The sequence below is a fragment of the Homo sapiens genome, chromosome 1 (assembly GCF_000001405.40).
Source record: "Homo sapiens chromosome 1, GRCh38.p14 Primary Assembly".
In the NCBI taxonomy this organism is placed as follows: domain Eukaryota; kingdom Metazoa; phylum Chordata; class Mammalia; order Primates; family Hominidae; genus Homo; species Homo sapiens.
In genome coordinates this window covers 94030770-94051116 of record NC_000001.11, presented here as the reverse complement: position 1 = coordinate 94051116, position 20347 = coordinate 94030770, and the positions used below count along the sequence as shown (strand labels likewise).

At 46.6% G+C, this 20347-nt stretch overlaps 1 protein-coding gene across 2 annotated transcripts in view, besides 2 other annotated features; it reads left to right on the top strand.

Moving 5' to 3' along the window:
• ABCA4 (ATP binding cassette subfamily A member 4) overlaps positions 1-20347 on the top strand; it is a 128315-nt gene that overhangs the window by 70032 nt on the left and 37936 nt on the right. For both annotated transcript variants that reach the window (NM_001425324.1, NM_000350.3), the window contains 11 exons: positions 2160-2249; positions 4024-4198; positions 6373-6504; positions 7642-7781; positions 8219-8356; positions 9715-9908; positions 10990-11074; positions 13767-13972; positions 14329-14377; positions 19074-19339; positions 19997-20121. In NM_001425324.1, coding sequence (NP_001412253.1) covers positions 2160-2249; positions 4024-4198; positions 6373-6504; positions 7642-7781; positions 8219-8356; positions 9715-9908; positions 10990-11074; positions 13767-13972; positions 14329-14377; positions 19074-19339; positions 19997-20121 — 1600 coding nt within the window. The remainder of the gene's footprint in view (positions 1-2159; positions 2250-4023; positions 4199-6372; positions 6505-7641; positions 7782-8218; positions 8357-9714; positions 9909-10989; positions 11075-13766; positions 13973-14328; positions 14378-19073; positions 19340-19996; positions 20122-20347) is intronic.
• Positions 6259-6759: an enhancer, noted in NCBI's record as "H3K4me1 hESC enhancer chr1:94509914-94510414 (GRCh37/hg19 assembly coordinates)". NCBI's record gives its function as "activates a minimal SCP1, AML or CMV promoter by ChIP-STARR-seq in naive H9 embryonic stem cells {active_cell/tissue: H9 hESC(naive)}" and the evidence as "EXISTENCE:reporter gene assay evidence [ECO:0000049][PMID:30033119]".
• Positions 13286-14485: an enhancer, noted in NCBI's record as "BRD4-independent group 4 enhancer chr1:94502188-94503387 (GRCh37/hg19 assembly coordinates)". NCBI's record gives its function as "activates an origin of replication core promoter dependent on BRD2, P300/CBP, MED14 and CDK7 cofactors, and independent of BRD4, by STARR-seq in HCT116 cells {active_cell/tissue: HCT116}" and the evidence as "EXISTENCE:reporter gene assay evidence [ECO:0000049][PMID:35650434]".

The window sequence follows — 20347 nt, the reverse complement described above, 5'->3', positions numbered from 1 at the left end:
TTCTTAGGGGTGGGGAAAAAGGCTGAAAGGGCATTTGCCCACAACACATCTTAGGTAAAAGGCACCTTTACTACTGAACCAAACAGGAGGCCTAGCTAGAGAAAGTTCTAGAAGCAGGGAAAAGCACAGACTCTTTTGTGAGGTCTGAGAAAGCAAAGAAATTCCAGGGTGAAAGCGGGGGACTCCCCTAGAGCTGAAGTACTCTCCCATCTGTTTGTTGCTCACCTACCTATTCTTTACTTTGTATTATTGGGCCTGGGCCAGGACTTATCCTGCAAGCACTGAGATGGATGTTTGTTTTCTCTGGGGGATTAGTCTTTTTTTTTCTTTTTTTCTTTTGTTTTTTGCTTTTGTTTTCACTGGGTCAAACAAACAACACTTTAACAGCTCAGGATTTTTTCATTGTATTGACTTGTCTACCTGTAAACTTGTTAATTTTTTACTATAATAAAATTATCATATAATAAATGAAAAATTTCAACACAGGGCTTGTGGGCATTTTATTTTTCTCTACAATCCCAACAGATACTCTGCCTCTTAAGAAAAAAAGAAATCATAAGGAAAATATGCTCCTTCAAAAGTGAATCACAAATATGTTTGCCAACGGAAGGCAAATATTTTTCACCTGTCTCATAGGCTGGACTGAAATGGATTTCTAAAACTCTCTAAAACCAGAAAAGAGCTGAGTGTCTCCACCCAACCTCCCTCCTTTCACAGATTAAAAAATAAAAAATGGAGCCCAGGAGACATCCAGTATCTTCCCCTATTGGTCACCTGGGACAAAATCTGGAACATGCACATGCATTGCCTGGCAGGAACTCATTCCAGTGATTAAACTCTTCAGGAGGATGTTTCCTCTTGCTATTTCATTACCTATTTGTGCAGTTTGATAGCTAGTAAAGTGATCAAAGGAACTGTGGGGCATAGATTCAAAAGTCCTTCAGGAAGCAGAAATAGAAGAACAGTACTAGAGGCAGCAGGTCCCTGACCAGCAGGCCCACTACCTGCTGCTCCAGCACACATCCTGCACATTTTCAGAGGGTGGGGGACAGAGGGGCCCTGGGTGGCTGTTGCATTGAGAAATCTCGCCCTGCTCCTGTATGTGCACTTGAGGCCGAGAGCCCTTGGATGCCTGGTGACAGTGGTTTCCTCCTGCCCCTGCCTTCCTCTCTGGCAGACTGACTGGCCCTTCTGCTCCTCTTCCCCTTCCAGGATGTCCTGATATCTTTTTAAACCAAATGCCAAGTTTGCCAAAAAGTGTCTGTTTGTGTGTGTGTGTGTGTGTGTGTTCAATGCGTGTGTTTATACCACACTTCACAATTTGTCCAGGCTTGTATTAATACCATCACCAGGCTCAACCCTGGTGTTAATTCCAAGATACTTAAATGCCCATCTAGGTGAATTTCTCAGGTAAACCATATATTCAAGCTGTAGTTTAAGCTGGCTGCCCGTCATAGCACTTTGAATAGACTTTGTTTTTGTTTTTGTTTTTTGAGACAGAGTCTCACTCTGTCGGCCAGGCTGGAGTGCAGTGGCACTATCTCGGCTCACTGCAACCTCCGCCTCCCGGGTTCAAGCGATTCTCCTGCCTCAGCCTCCTAAGTAGCTGGGATTACAGGTGAGCGCCACCCCACCCGGCTAATTTTTGTATTTTTAGTAGATACGGGGTTTCACCATGTTGGTCAGACTGGTCTCGAACTCCTGACCTCATGATACGCCTACATTGGCCTCCCAAAGTGCTGGGATTACAGGCGTGAGCCACCACATCCGGCCCCTGAATAGACTTTTACTCAAGGTTCACCATGACTTTCACATGTTTTGTATTGGAGTAAAATGTGCCAGTGGTGGGCTAAAGAAAATTAACTCATTTCAAATTCAAACCTGGTTTTCTTAATTTTTTTAAAATCACAGTTTCTGAAACTGTGGGCTCCTCATGGCACATTGAGAGGAGGAGGTGAAACTCTCCAAGTCTGAAGCTCCTGTTATAAATCTTCCTCTGGCAAAGATTGTGTGATCAGGCTTGAGTACCTCACAGTCCTAGAGCAGGTCAAAGGCTGGCTAGGAAACTCATTTGCTCCCTGTACCTCTCCCCTCCTTTCCTGCCTTTGCTCGTTCTCAGCTCCCGGTGGTAGAGTAACACTGGCTTCTGATTGGTGCAGGGTGTTCAACCAGAGAAGAAAGAGCCCTGGAAAAGACCGAGCCCCTAACAGAGGAAACGGAGGATCCAGAGCACCCAGAAGGAATACACGGTAAAACCCCGATAAAGAATACACAGCAGAGGCGAGGAAAAGGCTCTAAGCACTGCAGAGGGCCAGAGCAAAACATCTCATGGCAAGGGTGGAAAGAAGCCTAGGAAACTGACTCTCTCTGTGGACAAGTGTTAAACCAGATCCCTTCTCAGAGGTCCATCTGCATGTGTGTGGAATGAATGGTTCAGCCCAGACATTAGCGCATATTTCCTGGAGAAAGCAAATACCAACTATGTAGTGTGCCTGTGCCCTTGTTAGGCAAATCCCAAGTGAGTTGCACAAATGTGCTGACTTCCGAGGATTTAGCAAGAACAATAACTTTGGTCACTGGGACTTAAAGCGGATATGAGCTATAAGGAAAGACAAAAATAAATGCTTCTGTGTCCAGGGGGAAAGAGACTCCAGGGGAGCTGACTACACTTCACTTACGGCTTACAAATCTAGAAGGCCATTCATTGAAACCATCAGAAGCCTTTCCTGACAGTGGAAGTTACCTAATAATCCCTAAACTGACGACCCAGATTTACAAGTTTTGTTTTCCTGGCTTTTGCTGCCCTCATCTTCTCTCTTAAACTAGTTCTGTATTTCTCCCAAGGCTTTTCATTCCCTAAGCATACGCATTTCTCTGTGGCCAAAATGCTCTGGGTTTAGACAGGCAGCACAGCCCCTGGGCTCTGCCTGACAGGGCAGGAGAGGGTCTGGCCTTTATCCCTCCAGCCCACCCCAGGGGCCATTTCATAAAACTAAAGCCAGAGACCTGCAGCCCCTCCCAGAGTTAGACTGCAGTACACCATGCCTCTGGCAAGATCCTCCTCCCACAGTGGAAAGTCTAAGCCAAATCAGGAGGCTGGGGACTGGTTCCACCTCAGTTGCAGGCAAGGCCAGGAGGCACGGATAGAAGAAACAGTGGACTTTTTCCCCCTAGGGAAAGAAATGCTTAGAGCTACAGTATTAAGATGACAAATTAAGCTGTGCCATATAGGGTGAAATGAAGCAGGGATAGATGGGAGGTCAGGGAGAAGTGAGAGCACTCGGTGAGGGTCTGCACTGGAGGGGGCATGGGAGGAAGAAGGAGGGGAGTGGGGTTTGAGGGATGGTGATGAGGAAGCGTGGACTGCCCTACCCACCTATTGGAAAACCTGGGAGTTCTGAGGAGCAAGAAGCCTTAGTCAAAGTCAACTCAAAGATTCAAGCCAAGGTGACTAAGAGAATGGCGGTCCAGAAAAGGTCATGGGAGAATCTGAAGGCAGATGTTGTTTTGGGAAGATGAAGAACCTAAGCCGCTTCCAGAAATTCATGAGGAAATGCCCCGTGGACTGTTGGCAATGAGGGCCTAGGACCAAGGTTGAGCTTGGGGCCAACTCTCCCTATAGACAGTGAGTGCATTCTGACAAGCATGGGCTCTGGGTTCAAATCCCAACTCTGCCACTCATGCCTATGTGTCCTTAATAGGACGCTTGATGTCTCTGTGTCTAAGGTTTCCTGGACTATGGAAATGAGCCTAATAAATGTCTACCCCTTAGGACCATTGTAAGAGTACATTGAGGTAATTTGTGTAAAGCAGTCGAAGCAGTGCCTGGCATATAGGAGGTGCTGTATAAACGTTTGATGCTAGTATTACTATTATTATTCTGGAGTCTTCCTTGCAACGGTGATAGCCGAAGCCACAGGGGCAGGTGACGTTATAGGCAGAATACAAGGGCCTGGAGACAGAGCCCTGGGGCCATGTAATTAGGCATTATGTTTACATCATGTTCATTTTTTTTCCTCCAAGACTCCTTCTTTGAACGTGAGCATCCAGGGTGGGTTCCTGGGGTATGCGTGAAGAATCTGGTAAAGATTTTTGAGCCCTGTGGCCGGCCAGCTGTGGACCGTCTGAACATCACCTTCTACGAGAACCAGATCACCGCATTCCTGGGCCACAATGGAGCTGGGAAAACCACCACCTTGTGAGTCTTCCAGCAGAGAAGCTGGCTGCCATGCTAGCCTGTCATTTCCTGGCTTAGTCTTTCCCTATCAGCGGCTGTCTACTCTTTCCCACAAATTTTAGTGACAAATATTTGCGGCCCCAAAAATGTGTAAAAGCTTTCTGCAGTATTCAAAGATCACTAATATGTATTCTCTTGATGGGGAGGTAGAATACGTTTATTGCCCCTTTTGTGTGCCGGGGAAGTGGACATTCATTCAGAGAGTTGAAGTGACTTTCCTGAAGCCACCAAGTTGTCATGGCTCAGCGGGGGCAAAAGCCAGGCACCACAGTTGCCTCTTGTTTCTCACACCTTGAGTCTTTCCCCCCATCTCAACAGTCCATGGTGGTGATCAAGTCATGGCCACTGTCATCATGTGCATGGAAGCTATAGAGTCCTCCTATTTCCTTTCTCTTTTCTTTTCTTTTTTTTTTTTTTTTTTTTTGAGATAGTAACCATTACCCATGCTGGAGGGCAGTGGTGCGATCTTGGCTCACTGCAACCTCCGCCTCCCAGGATCAAGCGATTCTCCCACCTCAGCCTCCCAAGTAGGTGGGACTACAGGTGCATACCACCATGCCCAGCTAATTTTTGTATTTTTTTTTTTTTTTTTTTTTTTTAGTACAGACAGGGTTTCACCATGTTGGCCAGGCTGGTCTCGAACTCCTGACCTCAGGTGATCTGCCCGCCTCAGCTTCCCAAAGTGCTGGGATTACAGGCGTGAGCGACCGCACCAGGCCGAGTCCTGCTATTTTCAAGGAACATTCCTTTTCCTACCAATCATTAGGCAGGCTTCAACATCAGCTGATGAGGGTTAGTGGTCGTTCTGGAGAAAGTGAAAAAAGAATCAGTCTCTAGAGGGGCTTGTGGAGTAACCGCCTGGTAACAGAAGGTCAGGGCAGGGAAGGCAAAGGGGCTCTGCGCGGATCTCTCAGCTCCGCAGGCGCCCCACTCTCCTCCAAGGGACCCGAGCGCCATCTGCTGAGAGGAGAACACGGCCCGCCATGGTTTCCCAAGGAGCAGCAGACACGGACCTCGCAGGGGGCAGCGAACCCACGTGACACAGTCTTCAAGTCCTTTGGAGAGCCCCAGGAAGGAACAACAGCGTGTACACCCTGTGATGGAATGTTCTCTAGGGCGGTTCAGTGTGAATGGAATGTGGGGCCGGTGCCATTCTAATTGGTTCTGTTTCCCTCTAGTGGTTGATCGCGGAGATTTCGGCTTCTCCATCAGGACAAGTTCAGATAGCCTGAGATGGTATCAGAACTCAGGGACAGAGCTGGGTGTGGCGGCCCTGCATCCATCTGCTTTCTCTCCATGCTAACTGATATGGTCAGAGAGCTGGAAGCAAATTCCAGGACCCCAGGGCTCCGCAAAGGCAAACACATTACTTCATCGGCTGCTGACATGCAACTTCCCCCAGGGGTTAAAACAATGTTTAATACTAACAGTAATAATATTTTTGAGTTTTACTTTATGCTGGCGCTGTTCTAATGTTGTAAGTGTATTAACTCATTTAAGCCTTACAACAACCTAAGGACATGGGAGTCATAGTTCCCATTTAAAAAAAAAAAAAAAAAAAGCCCACCATTGCTCTGAGGCTTTTTATGTTTTGGATCCAAAGCTAATATTGGTGGTGGTAATTCCCATGCCTGGCTTCGATCAATTAATCAGCAAATGCCTAGGACTGCTTAGGGTTCTGGCCTTCATCAAGACCTTACCCGGGCTTTATGATGATGACACCTGGCTTTTCAATAGCCATGACTGCTCACCCAGGAGGCAACGCCTCGAGTCATGCACCGAACACCTTTTATTGATCCTCTCCAACACCAGGCTCCGTGATGGCTGAGCTGGGGACACCTGTGACTGCACGTGAACATTTTGAGGCTGGGAATCCCAAAGGCCCTCGGCGTTGGCCTGGGAGCACCATGAAACAAGTAGAAGCAGAGAAGGATGGCAGAGGTGGCCCTCTGCATTAGGGCCTGGATGTATACACTGGTGCTAAGGGGGCCCCACAGCTAATAGGGGTTTGAGTTTGACTGACAGCCCCAGGCAGGAATCTGTGAGAGTTCTCACTGAACCTGGTGTGGGGGTGGCCCTCCTAAGGCATGTTGCTAAAGGCCATCTCTTCTGCCACTGACGCCTGTGTTCTGCAGGTCCATCCTGACGGGTCTGTTGCCACCAACCTCTGGGACTGTGCTCGTTGGGGGAAGGGACATTGAAACCAGCCTGGATGCAGTCCGGCAGAGCCTTGGCATGTGTCCACAGCACAACATCCTGTTCCACCAGTAAGCGACACAGGAACTGAGACCGCCCCATCCCCTCTCCTCACCTCTGCCCCCAGCACACTTCTCTAGAGCCCAGCTCAGGGGTGCCAGGCCTGGGCACAGGCAGAGATACAGACTCTTATTTGGTTTCCCCTATGTTTAAAGTCCTTTGTCCTACTTGCAGTGAGAATTGTCCCTGAGAATATGGGACTCTGCCTCTGCTGCTCAGAGCTGAGGGCTCCTCCCTCAGAAGGGTGAGGCTGCCTTCGCTCTGACAGAGCAGCTGATCGATCCCCGAGCCCCTTGTGCAGCCCTGAAGTACTTCCTCTCTGGGACCAAAGACAGGAGAACCATTGTTCCTTTTTCCTGTTGAAGCCACGGCCTGAAAGGCAAACTTTTCAGGGGGCTTTTCAGTTACTTTTTTTCCCCAATAAGATATCTTTTATTTCTTATCTAAGAAGCTACGCATAGTCATTGTGAAAGAAAAAAAAGGAAGGGAGGAAGGAAGGGAGGAAGGAAGGAAGGAAGGAAGGAAGGAAAGAAGGGAGGGAGGGAGGGGAGAAGGAAGCGAGGGAGGGAGGGAGGGGAGAAGGAAGGGAACAGGAGGGAGGAAAAGGGAAGGGGAAGGAGGAAGGAAAGGGAAGGAGGGAGGAAGTAAATATAGGTAAACAAAAAATTGAAAATAAAAGTCACCTGTAATTTCACTACTCAGAGATAACCGCTGAGTTATAACATTGGTATATAATTTTTTAGAACTTTCTCCTATACATGTATAGATAGATAAACACATATACTTCAAAATGATAAAGAATAGTAAAACTATGCATACAATTTTATAACCTGACTTTTTTTTCAAAAAAAAGGATTGCTTTTTTAAACATAAGATATCAGGAACATCTTTCATGTCATTACATATTCTTCTATAAAATAATATTTAATGTTTACAGATTATTCCATTGTATGCATGAACTATGTAAGCCATCCTCTTATTAGATATTTAAGCAGGGTCTGCTATTTTTGTATTGTATCATAAACACCACCACAGTGAGCATCTTGATTGCCAAATCAAGAATACTTGTCCTCAATTATTTCTGTAAGATCAGCTGCTGGAAGTGGAAGTGCTAAGCCACTGCTTTTCTCGTTGTCCCATCCTCCTAGCCTCACGGTGGCTGAGCACATGCTGTTCTATGCCCAGCTGAAAGGAAAGTCCCAGGAGGAGGCCCAGCTGGAGATGGAAGCCATGTTGGAGGACACAGGCCTCCACCACAAGCGGAATGAAGAGGCTCAGGACCTATCAGGTGCTCAGAGCTGGATGGAGACAGGGCCACAGATGGCAAATCCATGGCTCCCCAGTGCACCCAGGAGGCAGGGGAGGCTTGGAGCAGGAGAGCTTCTAAGGGTGGGAACACCTCTGTGAAGTTACACCAAAAATCTAAGAGCAGCCCCCAGATCATTTTCCCTGCAGAGCACTGTCTCACAGCAGCCTGGGTTTTATTTGTCCTGAGATTGATGTGCTTGAACAGTCTTCAAAGGGTCTGATCCGAGGAGGTGAGGGTTGCCCTTTCTGCATTTACAAAGCCTGAACAGTATTAGGGCTTTGAACGCTATAAACATCTAAGAGGCAGCACCAAACCACTGCTGGGTTAAGGTACCCCCACAATGCCACTTGCCCTGGGCCTTTCTCTTCCTCACCCTCCACAGCCCCTTAACTCTCCCGTCCTTCTTGTGCCTCCAGGTGGCATGCAGAGAAAGCTGTCGGTTGCCATTGCCTTTGTGGGAGATGCCAAGGTGGTGATTCTGGACGAACCCACCTCTGGGGTGGACCCTTACTCGAGACGCTCAATCTGGGATCTGCTCCTGAAGTATCGCTCAGGTAACAGCTGCTGCTCAGTCTCCTGGGCTGGGCTCTCACTGCAGCCCTAGCTGTGGTCCCCACTCTCTCACCTGCCATTTTGTAGCTGAGTACAGGAACCACAATGACTACACTCAGAAGGGGGTTTATCAGTGACTTGGTGAATCTAAGTTCCAGCTAAAGCCTCCTGAGGTTTTTACAAATATAAACAGAGAATCACTGATGATGCAACCTACTTCCCAAAATATTTTAGAAAATTCTCTTGACCTGCAGCCCTTCTGTCTGGAATAATGGATGCTACTCTAGGTGAATGTCTTCTCTGACCATGGGGACCCAGGTCACCTGCAAACATACCTAGAAGCTCCATAGCTGTCAGATGACCACTCAGGACCAGTGTGAGGGTGACCTGCTGGGCATTCAGTGCTCCAGAGGGTGGCCACAGATGGAAGTGGCTCCTCTGTCATGGCACCTCTCAGACAAGGGGCTCAGATCAGAAGAGACAGCAAGCAGAGCTGAGTGCCCATAGAGGTAACAGCACGGTTCAACCCCGTGGTCAAGCCAGAGCTTTCCCCCTTGCTCTACTCACACAGCGTTGCCCCGTGCCTTTCTCTGAGGGTTTGTCATCCTGAAATCCTCATTGCTATTTTCTTTCTTTCTTTTCTTTTTTTTTTTTTTTTTTTTTTGAGACAGAATCTCGCTCTGTCGCGCAGGCTGGAGTGCAGTGGCGCAATCTCCACTCACTGCAAGCTCCGCCTCCTGGGTTCGAGCCATTCTCCTGCCTCAGCCTCCTGAGTAGCTGGGACTACAGGTGCCCGCCACCACGCCTAGCTAATTGTTTTTGTATTTTTAGTAGAGACGGGGTTTCACCGTGTTAGCCAGGATGGTCTCGATCTCCCGACCTCAGGTGATCCTCCCGCCTTGTCCTCCCAAAGTGCTGGGATTACAGGCATGAGCCACCGTGCCCGGCCTGCTGTTTTCTGTTAATGACATCTCCAGTTAGTGAGAGTATGCACGTGTGTGTTCTTTATGAAGAGTATAAATCCAGAGCTTAATGATCCAGAAAATGTACATATGAAACTCCCTAGATGCTGACCATAATACATGAGCCCCTAATATAGAGATTTATTTGAATCAGATCCTATGCTGGATACAGAGACACTGTGTGTGGCAATGCTTTACAGTATGTAGGAAGCTATGAAATGTTAGTTATTATTGTCCTAATATGCTGGAATTTGCTGCTGAATTAGTTCCCTTGGGTTTTTTTTTTTAGTTAACTCCTGATTTTTGCAACTATATAGCCAGGAAATTGCTGTACACCCTTTACCAACAATGCCCAACCCAGGGCAGGCCTGGTGATTGCCCTGGCCCCTACCTTGCAGGCAGAACCATCATCATGTCCACTCACCACATGGACGAGGCCGACCTCCTTGGGGACCGCATTGCCATCATTGCCCAGGGAAGGCTCTACTGCTCAGGCACCCCACTCTTCCTGAAGAACTGCTTTGGCACAGGCTTGTACTTAACCTTGGTGCGCAAGATGAAAAACATCCAGAGCCAAAGGAAAGGCAGTGAGGTAGGTGTCTGCCCAGGGAAGGACCCTGGCCTGGGTGAGAAGGAGCACACAGCACGGGGCTGCCACTCCAGACATGGCTACTCACACAGGCTCTCGCCACCAGAATCAGTGTCTTTGTTCTGGGACCATTTGCAGAAGATTTCGATGAACACATTCTGAAGCCTCCTCCTACAGAGATGCTTTAGCCAAAATGAAACAACTAGCTTTAAATGGTCTGCAAGTATTACATGCCAGATTACACACCAGTTTGGTGCGGTTTGGTGCAACATAGAAGTGAGTGTCTTATTCTGTAAGGTTAGGCTGTTTTAAGAGCAATTGGTTGAGCTTCATTTCAACATTAATATTCCCTAATTAAACCTGAATTTCAGTGGTAAGTGAAAACTAAGAAGAGGCCTCCTTGGGTGCTATAACATAAAAATGATGAAGGCAAAAAGTACCAACCAGCAGAGACCACTTCAGCACATCAGGAGACCCAGTTTTATGTCTGTGCTGCGAAGTGAACAAACTGTGTCATCCTAGGCAAATTATTTAATTCCTCCTTTTTTTTAGTATTTTTTTCTTCTTCACATGGAACATGAAGCTAATGACCTCTGCTTCTATTTCTTAGGGATGTGAAGATAAGTGAGATAAAGTATTATAAATGTGCTCTGGGCTTCTTAAGAACAGGCATTGCTCACATTCAAATGGTCATGATTATGATATGGCAGCATTATTTATGCCTCTGGTTTAAGTGTCTGGCTGCCGCTGGGGTTTCCTATGTCCATCCACGGGGAGGGAGGCACAGAATGTCTCCCACAGGCAGAACCTACAGCTGCCACATAATTGATGACAAGCCAAAGGGACCCTTGGAGGTTCTGCTCCTCTCTGTGTGTGACTCACACACTCTCTAGGATAAAATCAAGCGACTACACCCTCAAAATGCTCAGATGAATTAACAGATTAAACAGTGAAGAAAAAAATGTGTTGACTACACTTGGCAGTGAGAAATAAATAAAGCGGGCGGTGACAGCAGCTGGCATCAGGGAGAGGCTGTCATGGAAGGGATGTGCATCTTGTCAGTCATCCCATCCATCTGTTGCAGGGGACCTGCAGCTGCTCGTCTAAGGGTTTCTCCACCACGTGTCCAGCCCACGTCGATGACCTAACTCCAGAACAAGTCCTGGATGGTAAGGACTGGACGGGCCATACTTGGGTTCCGTCTGGCAGCCATCTCCCAGTATTGCTGGGTGTGTCCTGTTGTGATGCATTTTAATGGGAGCAAAGAGAACACTGGGTACTTCTGCAGGTCACACAGTTGTTCTTTTGCTTTGAGCTTCTTTCTCCTCTTCCTTCTTCCTTCATTCCCAAAGGGATTTTAAAAGTCATGCACCTAAAGGCCCTCTCCCTTTAATGAGGAATACACTCTGTGCTCTTACCCTTAGTAAGCCATCATTCCTGGGGTCCCCCTGCCCTGGCTCCAGGCCACATTCCTTAGTGTCTGGGGAGAGCTTCTTCTACATGTGTGCCGTGGCGCCCTCTAGTGGAAGCATGGTGATGCACGGCTCTTCCAGTGAATTCGTGGAGTCAGAGATTGCACATGTGGATGGCAAGTCTGGAAATAGCATACACCCCTGTTATACTCCTGATTCTCCCCTCAGCTTCCCAATTTCCCAGTGATTCTCCCTTTAATTAGGATGCACTGAAGCTCTCAGGGGTGCCCCCATCTCCAAGGAGCTGCAGTGGAGAGGCTATCCCCTCTCTATGTGAGAGAATGTGTGAGAAGCGTATTCCCACACAGGAGCAAAACTAAACTTACGTACTGATGCAGGTTAATGAATGGGGAAAGTATCTGCTTATCAAAGAAAAGGCATATTTTTCTATTTAGCACAAACTTTTTCAAATGTTAAGAATTTACTAACTGAAATCTGGTGAAGCAAGAGAACCGGGCAATATTTGCGTTGTCTGATCATTACAACTGGAGGGAACATGCTCAGAGAGGCATCATCACTGTTCATGCACCTGCCCTCTCTTTACACTGAGAGACCCTGTGATGAACAGAAAACATCTTTTTAGGATGACATCTCTGGGTCTTTCTCCTAGCCTGCCTTGCTGTGGGTACCTATCTCCCTGCTCTCTGAACCTTGGTCAAGAAGTTTATATTTGTTTTAAATTGATACTAATATGTTAAGTTACTGTGATTTGCCAAAATCAGATTGGAAACAGGGCCTGCATGGCTGAATGATTCTTTTTTTTAAATTACTTTATTTCTAAATAAAGGTTTTCTTTGTATAGAATCGGGATGCTGTGAATGGTGGGAAATGCACTAAATAGTTATGCCCCAAATAAGAAAGGGAAAATCATTTGAATCCCCAGTTAGCTCCTTGAAAGTCTTTTCACTTAAACACACCCACATACCACACACACACTCACAGACCTCCCTCCCAGATGCCCAAAGCCCTGCTGACCTACAGAGCTACTTCTGGAAAGGCTGACACATGCCTAAGACACAATTCCTGGGAATCCAGCAGCTTTGGGTTCAATTTCCTTCCTAAAAGAACAATGAATATGACCCCTGGAGAGCTATTAGGGCAGAGCTGCTTCCTTAACGTAAAGGACTCTCCAGCCTCCGTATGAAGTCATCTCAGAGCTAAAGACAATCAAGTCCAACTTGCAGATTTGACATAAAGCAAGACTTCCAATCCGGCTAGGCAGAAGGATTTTGGTTGAAAACCATGAAATCCCTTCATATGGATCATTTTTTAAACAACAAAAAAAGAAAAGAACCTACTGGGTGTCCACAACTCTGAGAGCTGCTTTCTGAAGAGTCATGTTTTGAGTCCTGGAATCCCTCTCCCTTTGACCTGCCTCTCAAGACAATGTGCGAGAGAACTCTCTCTTCAAGTGCATGCAAGTGAGGTTTTCACAGTTAGATTTTTAATTTTAAAGTAATACACATTTGTACATAAAATTCAATTCTGACTGTATACATGTGTCAGATAAACAGTTGATACCTGACACTTGTTCACAGTCTATGATACGCACCGCATATCCTACCCTCTCCCCCAGCCTCTCTCCATGGCTTCTCAACCCCCCCTCTGCATTTCCTGTGACCTGAGGATTCAGTTTTGTTTGTGGAGGCAGGTGCAATCCCAAGAGAAACTGTGCAATCTTCTGAGAAGTTAGAGTAGGCATGTGTGTGTGATTTAGGGAAGGTACTTCTCACTCAGCTTGGTCACCGGTTCCAGGTTTGTGTCTTGGGCAAGTCCCCCATAGCTGGTGACAGACCAGAAAAATGAAAACAACTTTGACTTAGCCCTCAAGTTTTCAGTGAATGAGAATGAAAAACAACCATGAGTAAGAGATTTCTTACCGAGATGATGTAAAGGATAATAATAGCAGCCAGCACTCACCTATGTGCCAGGTATTTCTCTAACTGCTTTGTGTAGTTTGACTCATCCAGTCCTCAAAAACAACAATGAAGTGGATACCAGTATTTTCCCCTTTTCACAGATGAGGAAAGTCTAATGTGACCCACCCAACATAACATAGTTTGAGGGGACAGAGCATTTCGTTGAACAGAGGAGGAACTGGCACAGGAAAGTTGCATGACCCCCCCACCAACCTCCGCCCCCAGGTTGCACAGCTAGCTAGTCGGGAGGACTTTGCTTCCGTTTCCCTCTGCCTCTCAATGATGATCTCAGGGCCAACTAAGCTAAAAGCAGACTTGATGGAGCATCAGTCCTCTGAAAGAGTCACTGCCGAGATACAAAATACCTCTTCTTCAAAGGGGAAGTGGAGAGAAGTAGGAAATCTGGGTAACCTCACAGTCTTCCAGTTTCTGGAAAACAGAGCTGGCATCAGTCTTTTTTCTTGTCCTAGGGGATGTAAATGAGCTGATGGATGTAGTTCTCCACCATGTTCCAGAGGCAAAGCTGGTGGAGTGCATTGGTCAAGAACTTATCTTCCTTCTTCCAAATAAGAACTTCAAGCACAGAGCATATGCCAGCCTTTTCAGAGAGCTGGAGGAGACGCTGGCTGACCTTGGTCTCAGCAGTTTTGGAATTTCTGACACTCCCCTGGAAGAGGTAAAGTAGAGATTCCAGCTGGTTTCTGTCAAGTGCCAGAAGTGGCGGTTCTTTGAAAAAGTCTAACATTAGAGCAAAGTTTTGTAAAAGCAAAAAGCCATCGTTCCCCACCCAAGCATAGCAACTATCTTTATTTTTGGCATAGTTCCCCCATCTCTGCATGCATACAAATTTTATGTACTTGTGGTTACTGTGTGCTTACGTTTTTGTATTTATAGAAGATGATGTTCTCAGATAGAGTCGTAATGGATTTTCTTCCCATTATGAAGCAATACCCAACAAAACAGAGCTTGGGTTAGATTTTTCTGAGAATAAGAATGACTAAACAAAATTCTCTCTTTTTTTCTTCTTGACAGATTTTTCTGAAGGTCACGGAGGATTCTGATTCAGGACCTCTGTTTGCGGGTATGGTGCTGGAGCCAGTGGCTTGTTCCCTTCCTTGCCTCCCTCCCAAGTTCCATCTCGAAAGTCTAAGGGGCTGGGCACAGTGGCTCATGCCTGTAATCCCAGCAATTTGGGAGGCCAAGGCAGATGGACCACCTGAGTTCGAGACCAGCCTGGCCAACATGGTGAAACCCCATCTGTACTAAAAATACAAAAATTAGCTAGGTGTGGTGGCGCGCACCTGTAATTCCAGCTACTCGGGAGGCTGAGGCAGGAGAATCACTTGAACCTGGGAGGCAGAGGTTGCAGTGAGCAGAGATTGTGCCACTGCACTGCAGCCTGAGCGACAAGAGCAAAATCCATCTCAAAAAAAAAAAAAAGTCTAAGGAAAAAGTCATGAAACAACAAAGCAGGCAAATACTCCTCCATAGTATCTGACTCCCCAGTAGTAGGCATTTTGCATCCTAGATGGCTTTGAGTGACAAAGGAATAACAGACTGAGTTAGGTCTAGATGGGGACACTTTGGATGAATGAGGATTCTTACGGAGGTCAGGTTGGTAGCTTCATCCCTCAGCTCCTCATGCTGTATCCCCAGTCTCTCGGCCTGCCATGTCATCATCCTCATCTCCTCCTGTCATCTCCACCAGGCCTCTGATCCATCTCTGTCTGCATGAGTGACAGCTGGCAGAGTCCTTAATGTTTATCAAATACAACTCAGACGTCAGTCTCCTGGCCCCTTTGAGATCAACATAAAATCATTTTGAACCCTTATTTAGTGGTCTATGGGCTTTGAAAACATGGGGACCAAAATTCCTGTGGATTCTAGAAGTCTCTCTTCTACATGTGTCAGCCTGGGCACCAACTAGCTCCTTCCATGAACTTTTATCAAACCCACAGCCACACAAAGCATGTGTGAGTGTAGCAGAGTTTACAGCAGAGGGTGGAGGGTGGGGAGATAGATGTGTGGAAGGGTTACCTGCCACACAAACAGAAACCACTTCTGATAGAACACGAGGTGTCCACCCACACTGTAAAATCCTCTCCTGGTACAGGCAAAGCTTTGCAGCGATTCTCCTTTGCTGCCCCTGGGCTCCTAACACCTCCTAAACCACCAGTTACCTCCTTCTTTCCAGTGTGGCATATTTCAGTGTTTTCCTGTTGGAGTGTTTCCTTTCTATGTGGATTCTGGAATCAGCTCTTAAGATAACTTGGTTTTCATCTTTCTTCATAATGATCCCAAACATCTATCTACTATGCCTAGAACTACCAATGGACACATATACCAGCCCAGATATGCTTCAGCCCATCCCAGTACATCGCATGGTGACCAAAAGATGTAGTCGTCCTGGCACAGTGGGTGTGGGGCAGGAAGCAGTCCTCTCCAGGGGACAGCAGCAATTCACCACAGAACCCAAGTTTCTTTCAAGCTCTGCTGACACAGAAATTGAATAATCTCAGCTCACCCAATGTCAAAGACTCATATTAACCAAGACCAGAATGAAAATATGCTAATTTATATCAGAAGCTTTGCTGGATTCAAGAGTTAGGGCCTTTTACCTGTGCAGAATATTCCTTCTTGATAAATAGGCCCTCTCAGGAGAATAAATTACACATCAGAGGACTGTTTAGTCAGCATAGGCATAGAACAGGATGTTCCAAAGATACAGTCAAGGGGAGTGGGTAAGAGTGTAGCCTCTGGAGTGAGGCCGACCAAATATCAAACCTGAGCTTCATAATTTGCAAACTAACTGGCTTTGGGTAAGTACATAGCCTCTTTGTACCTGTTTCCCCATCTGCAAAATGGAGATAATAATAGCATCTACCTGTAGCATTGTTGAGAGAATTAAGTGAGTTAATGCTTGCCGACTTATAACACAGTATACGATCACTGATTAAGACTTAGCAACTCTAAACTAAATGTTTACAAACCATCTCTTACCTCAAAGCACTTAACATCCATTGTCTTATTTGATTATCACTGTAATCTTATGAAGCAGGCAGGGCAGGGGTCTGCCCCATCTGGGGGGAACTGAGCTCACAGAGGTTGGAGGGTTTGCCTAAAGTCACCCAGGCCACTGGGTCTCACTCTCTGGTCTTAGCTCTGTAATCTAGGATGCTCAATGCCACACTCTCAGCCACTTTTCAGATGGCTAAGTACATTTGTTTTGAGTTAGCTCAGTCTCAGAGGATGACATTTTCTGATCTTGTCTCCAGTGTTTAAATGAACCTGTAGCTGTGCATTGGGGTCACACAATGCGTGGCATGGAGAGGGTCTGTGGCTGACTGCCACGGTTACTACGTGAAACCATCATTACAGCAGTTACTACTGTTACTGCCTGAGAACATCATTACAAGACTGAACGAAGGGATCAACATGGAAATGATAACAAAAAAACCAAAGTAACTGTTTTAAGGAAAGGCTAGCATCGGGAAGAAGAAGAGAGAAGAAGAGAAGAAGAAAAGGGCTCCCTGCTTCTAATGAGTAAAGGCAGCTCCCTAAGCTTCTGCAGCCCTTCATTATTTATTGGGTAACAGGAGGAAGGAGCAGGAGGTAATGATTGGGTCAGCTGCTTAAATGATCACGGGTTCATGTTGTTACTGACAGATTTCAATTATGCCTAATCATAAGAAACATTTGTGCAGCCTCCAACAAGGGTCAATGCCACTTCTGAAGGGGTGACTCATAGTCAGTAACTAGAAAGCAGCAGATAGCTAGGGACAAACTGGCGATTCTGAATAGGCCTGGAACCCTTAGCTCTGGCCAGGTCAGTGGGCTCCAGTCAGGATGGAGCCTTCAGGGAGAGATCAAAGCTCAGAGGTTTGAGATGATATCAGCCAGCAAAGAGGAGGGGCAGTAGGGATCCTCCCAGAGGGAGGGCCAGCCATAGAAGACATCAAATCTGAGCCCGGATCAGGAGAAGGAGCCTGCAGAACTGGGGCTCTGGCACCGAGAACCTGCAGAACTTCGCCCCTCTGAGTGCAGGTGCCAGGGCTGGGGCTGCCACCCAGCCTTCGCATCCCAGGCCTGGCACGTCATAGGTAAATGTAGTTGAAAGGATGACTGAGCTGATCCAATTCCCTTTACAACTGTCCTTGTCCTGGGGGACTTGAGGAGGGTTAAGAAAGCAGCTGGGGACCAACCAACAGTCCTCTAGGCTCTCCATGTCCAGCAATAGTTGTTCAGCAAATGAGCATTAATCAGTGACTATAAACTGTAGCTTCAACATAACCGACAACTTGCAATGGTTTCTAGAGCATGCTCCCATGTGTTATCTCATTTAAATTTCCAAACCAATCCTGTGAAATGTTCTTTTTTTTTTTCTTTTTTTTTTTTTTGAGATAGAGTTTTGCTCTGTCACCCAGGCTGGAATACAGCGGCTCGATCATAGCTCACTGCAGCCTTGACCTCCTGGGCCCAAGGGGTCCTCCCACCTCAGCCTCCCAAGTAGCTGGGACTACAGGCACACGCCACCGTGCCTGGCTAATTTCTTTTCTAGTTGTTTGTAGAGACAGGGTCTCCCTATGTTGTACAGGCTGATCTGAAACTCCTGGGGTCAATCAATCCTCCTGGCTTGGCCTCCCAAAGTGCTGGGATTACAGGCATGAGCCACCATGCCTTCATTTTACAGATAAGAAGTCTGAGAAAACTCAGATTTAGGCAGATTGAGTCACTTCCCCAAATTTATGTATCTTGTAAGAATCCATATTCAAACCTCAGTCCCCTAACTCTTAGTTCATTACTTTTTCTACCACTTCTCAGTATCCTCTAAGAATTCAGAAAGAACCACATCGACTCTGATTTTTCATTTGTTTAAGTACACAGGTAATAGGTGAATGTATTTTGTTGTTTAAAAATTCATATAATACACAAAAGGCTAAAGTCTCGCTTCCCACTTCCTCTCCCCTTTCTACCCAACTCTGCCTCCCCAGGGAGAGCTTCTGCTGACAGTCGGTGGACATTCTTTCAGAGTTTTACAATTATGTGTGTGTGTGTACATAAGATGTCAGTTTTTCTTTGTGTAGGATACATGAACATGAATTTTAAACATAAATGTGAGTGTATTACACATATTGACCAGCACCTTAGTTTTTTTGTTTGTTTGTTTGGTTTTCTTTGTGCTGTTTGAGAAGGAGTCTTGCTCTGTCACCCAGGCTGGAGTGCAGTCTTGCAATCTCGGCTTACGCAACCTCCACCTCCTGGGTTCAAGTGATTCTCCTGCCTCAGCCTCCCGAGTAGTTGGGATTACAGGTGCCTGCCACCATGCCTGGCTAATTTTTGTATTTTTGTAGAGAGGGGGTTTCACTATGTAGGTCAAGCTGGTCTCAAACTGCTGACCTCAAATGATCCATCCACCTCAGCCTCCCAAAGTGCTGAGATGACAGGCGTGAGCCTCCGTGCCCAGCCAGTTTTGTTTTTTTATTAACCAAGTTACGTATTTTAAACTTCTCCATGTCAATGCTTTTAGAGCTATTTTGTTCTCTTTAATGTTAATAGAGAATTTTAAGGCAATTTCAGGTGAATCTATACAATTTCTCTGTATAAGTAATTTACACTAGAAATAGATTTTTATAAAGATGATTAAGCTACCAGCCTGGTATTTCATTGCTGACTTAAATGAAGAGGAAAATCAATGCTGTAAGGGAAAAAAAAAATGGCATTAGAGATCCAGACCTTATAGGCATTTTCCAAATTATTAATTCAATCTCTCAAAACAGGTGGCGCTCAGCAGAAAAGAGAAAACGTCAACCCCCGACACCCCTGCTTGGGTCCCAGAGAGAAGGCTGGACAGACACCCCAGGACTCCAATGTCTGCTCCCCAGGGGCGCCGGCTGCTCACCCAGAGGGCCAGCCTCCCCCAGAGCCAGAGTGCCCAGGCCCGCAGCTCAACACGGGGACACAGCTGGTCCTCCAGCATGTGCAGGCGCTGCTGGTCAAGAGATTCCAACACACCATCCGCAGCCACAAGGACTTCCTGGCGCAGGTACTATTGTCGGTCGGTGTTTAGCTGAGCTCAGTGGCTCCTCTCCCAGCCTTCCCCTCCTCTCCTGAGTGTTCCTTCAGGCATGGGTTATAACTCAGCAAGGAGCACCCTCTTTAGATTCTGCTGGTTTTGTTTCCTGCTTTCCAAACCCTTATCTTGATTCTTGGTAACATGAATCTTCTTTGTAAGTTGGACCTCCCCTAGCAAAGAAAATAGAATAATAGTGAAAATGTTAATATTGTTTTTATTTTTACAGTGAGGGATAAAGTCATGTTTTCATTCATTTTTGCAGTGACCCTACATATCAAAATCATTGCCCTCTTTTTTCTTTTAATGTTGTTTAATTTAGAAAAAGAAGCTCTGGTTTAAAGAACAGTGAGTCACGTGACTTGCTCTTTGAAATGCCCTTTGAAGTCTGGCTGAACACTGGGCTGCATTCAGATTCTTCAGTGGCCACCAGAACATTCTGTTTTCTTCTGCACATCTTACCTTTGCACACCCTGCTTATTATGTTCCCCCAGAAGCCCAACCCTCTCCACCAGGGGCTGATTAGGAGGCTGCAGGATAAATGTTTAAAAGAATGAAGATGTGTGTGCACGCGCACGTGTGACATCTCCATGCCACAGTCATGTTTATTCCACGTCTATTCTCCCACAGATCGTGCTCCCGGCTACCTTTGTGTTTTTGGCTCTGATGCTTTCTATTGTTATCCCTCCTTTTGGCGAATACCCCGCTTTGACCCTTCACCCCTGGATATATGGGCAGCAGTACACCTTCTTCAGGTGCGCGGACTCGGGGTCACCATTCTCCTCTGTGGGTTTGGGGCACCTGGGTCACATGCTGCTTAGAAGGGCCCTGACCTTCCCACTTCACTGGGACCTTCACCAATGAGAGAGGGGAGGGGTCTTTGGGCTGCCTGCAGAAAGGAACTTAATGTATCTGCCACTGCTTGGAAAGGCGATCCTAGTGGACAGGCAGGACTGCTTGGGAAGGCCGAATGGGGAAAGG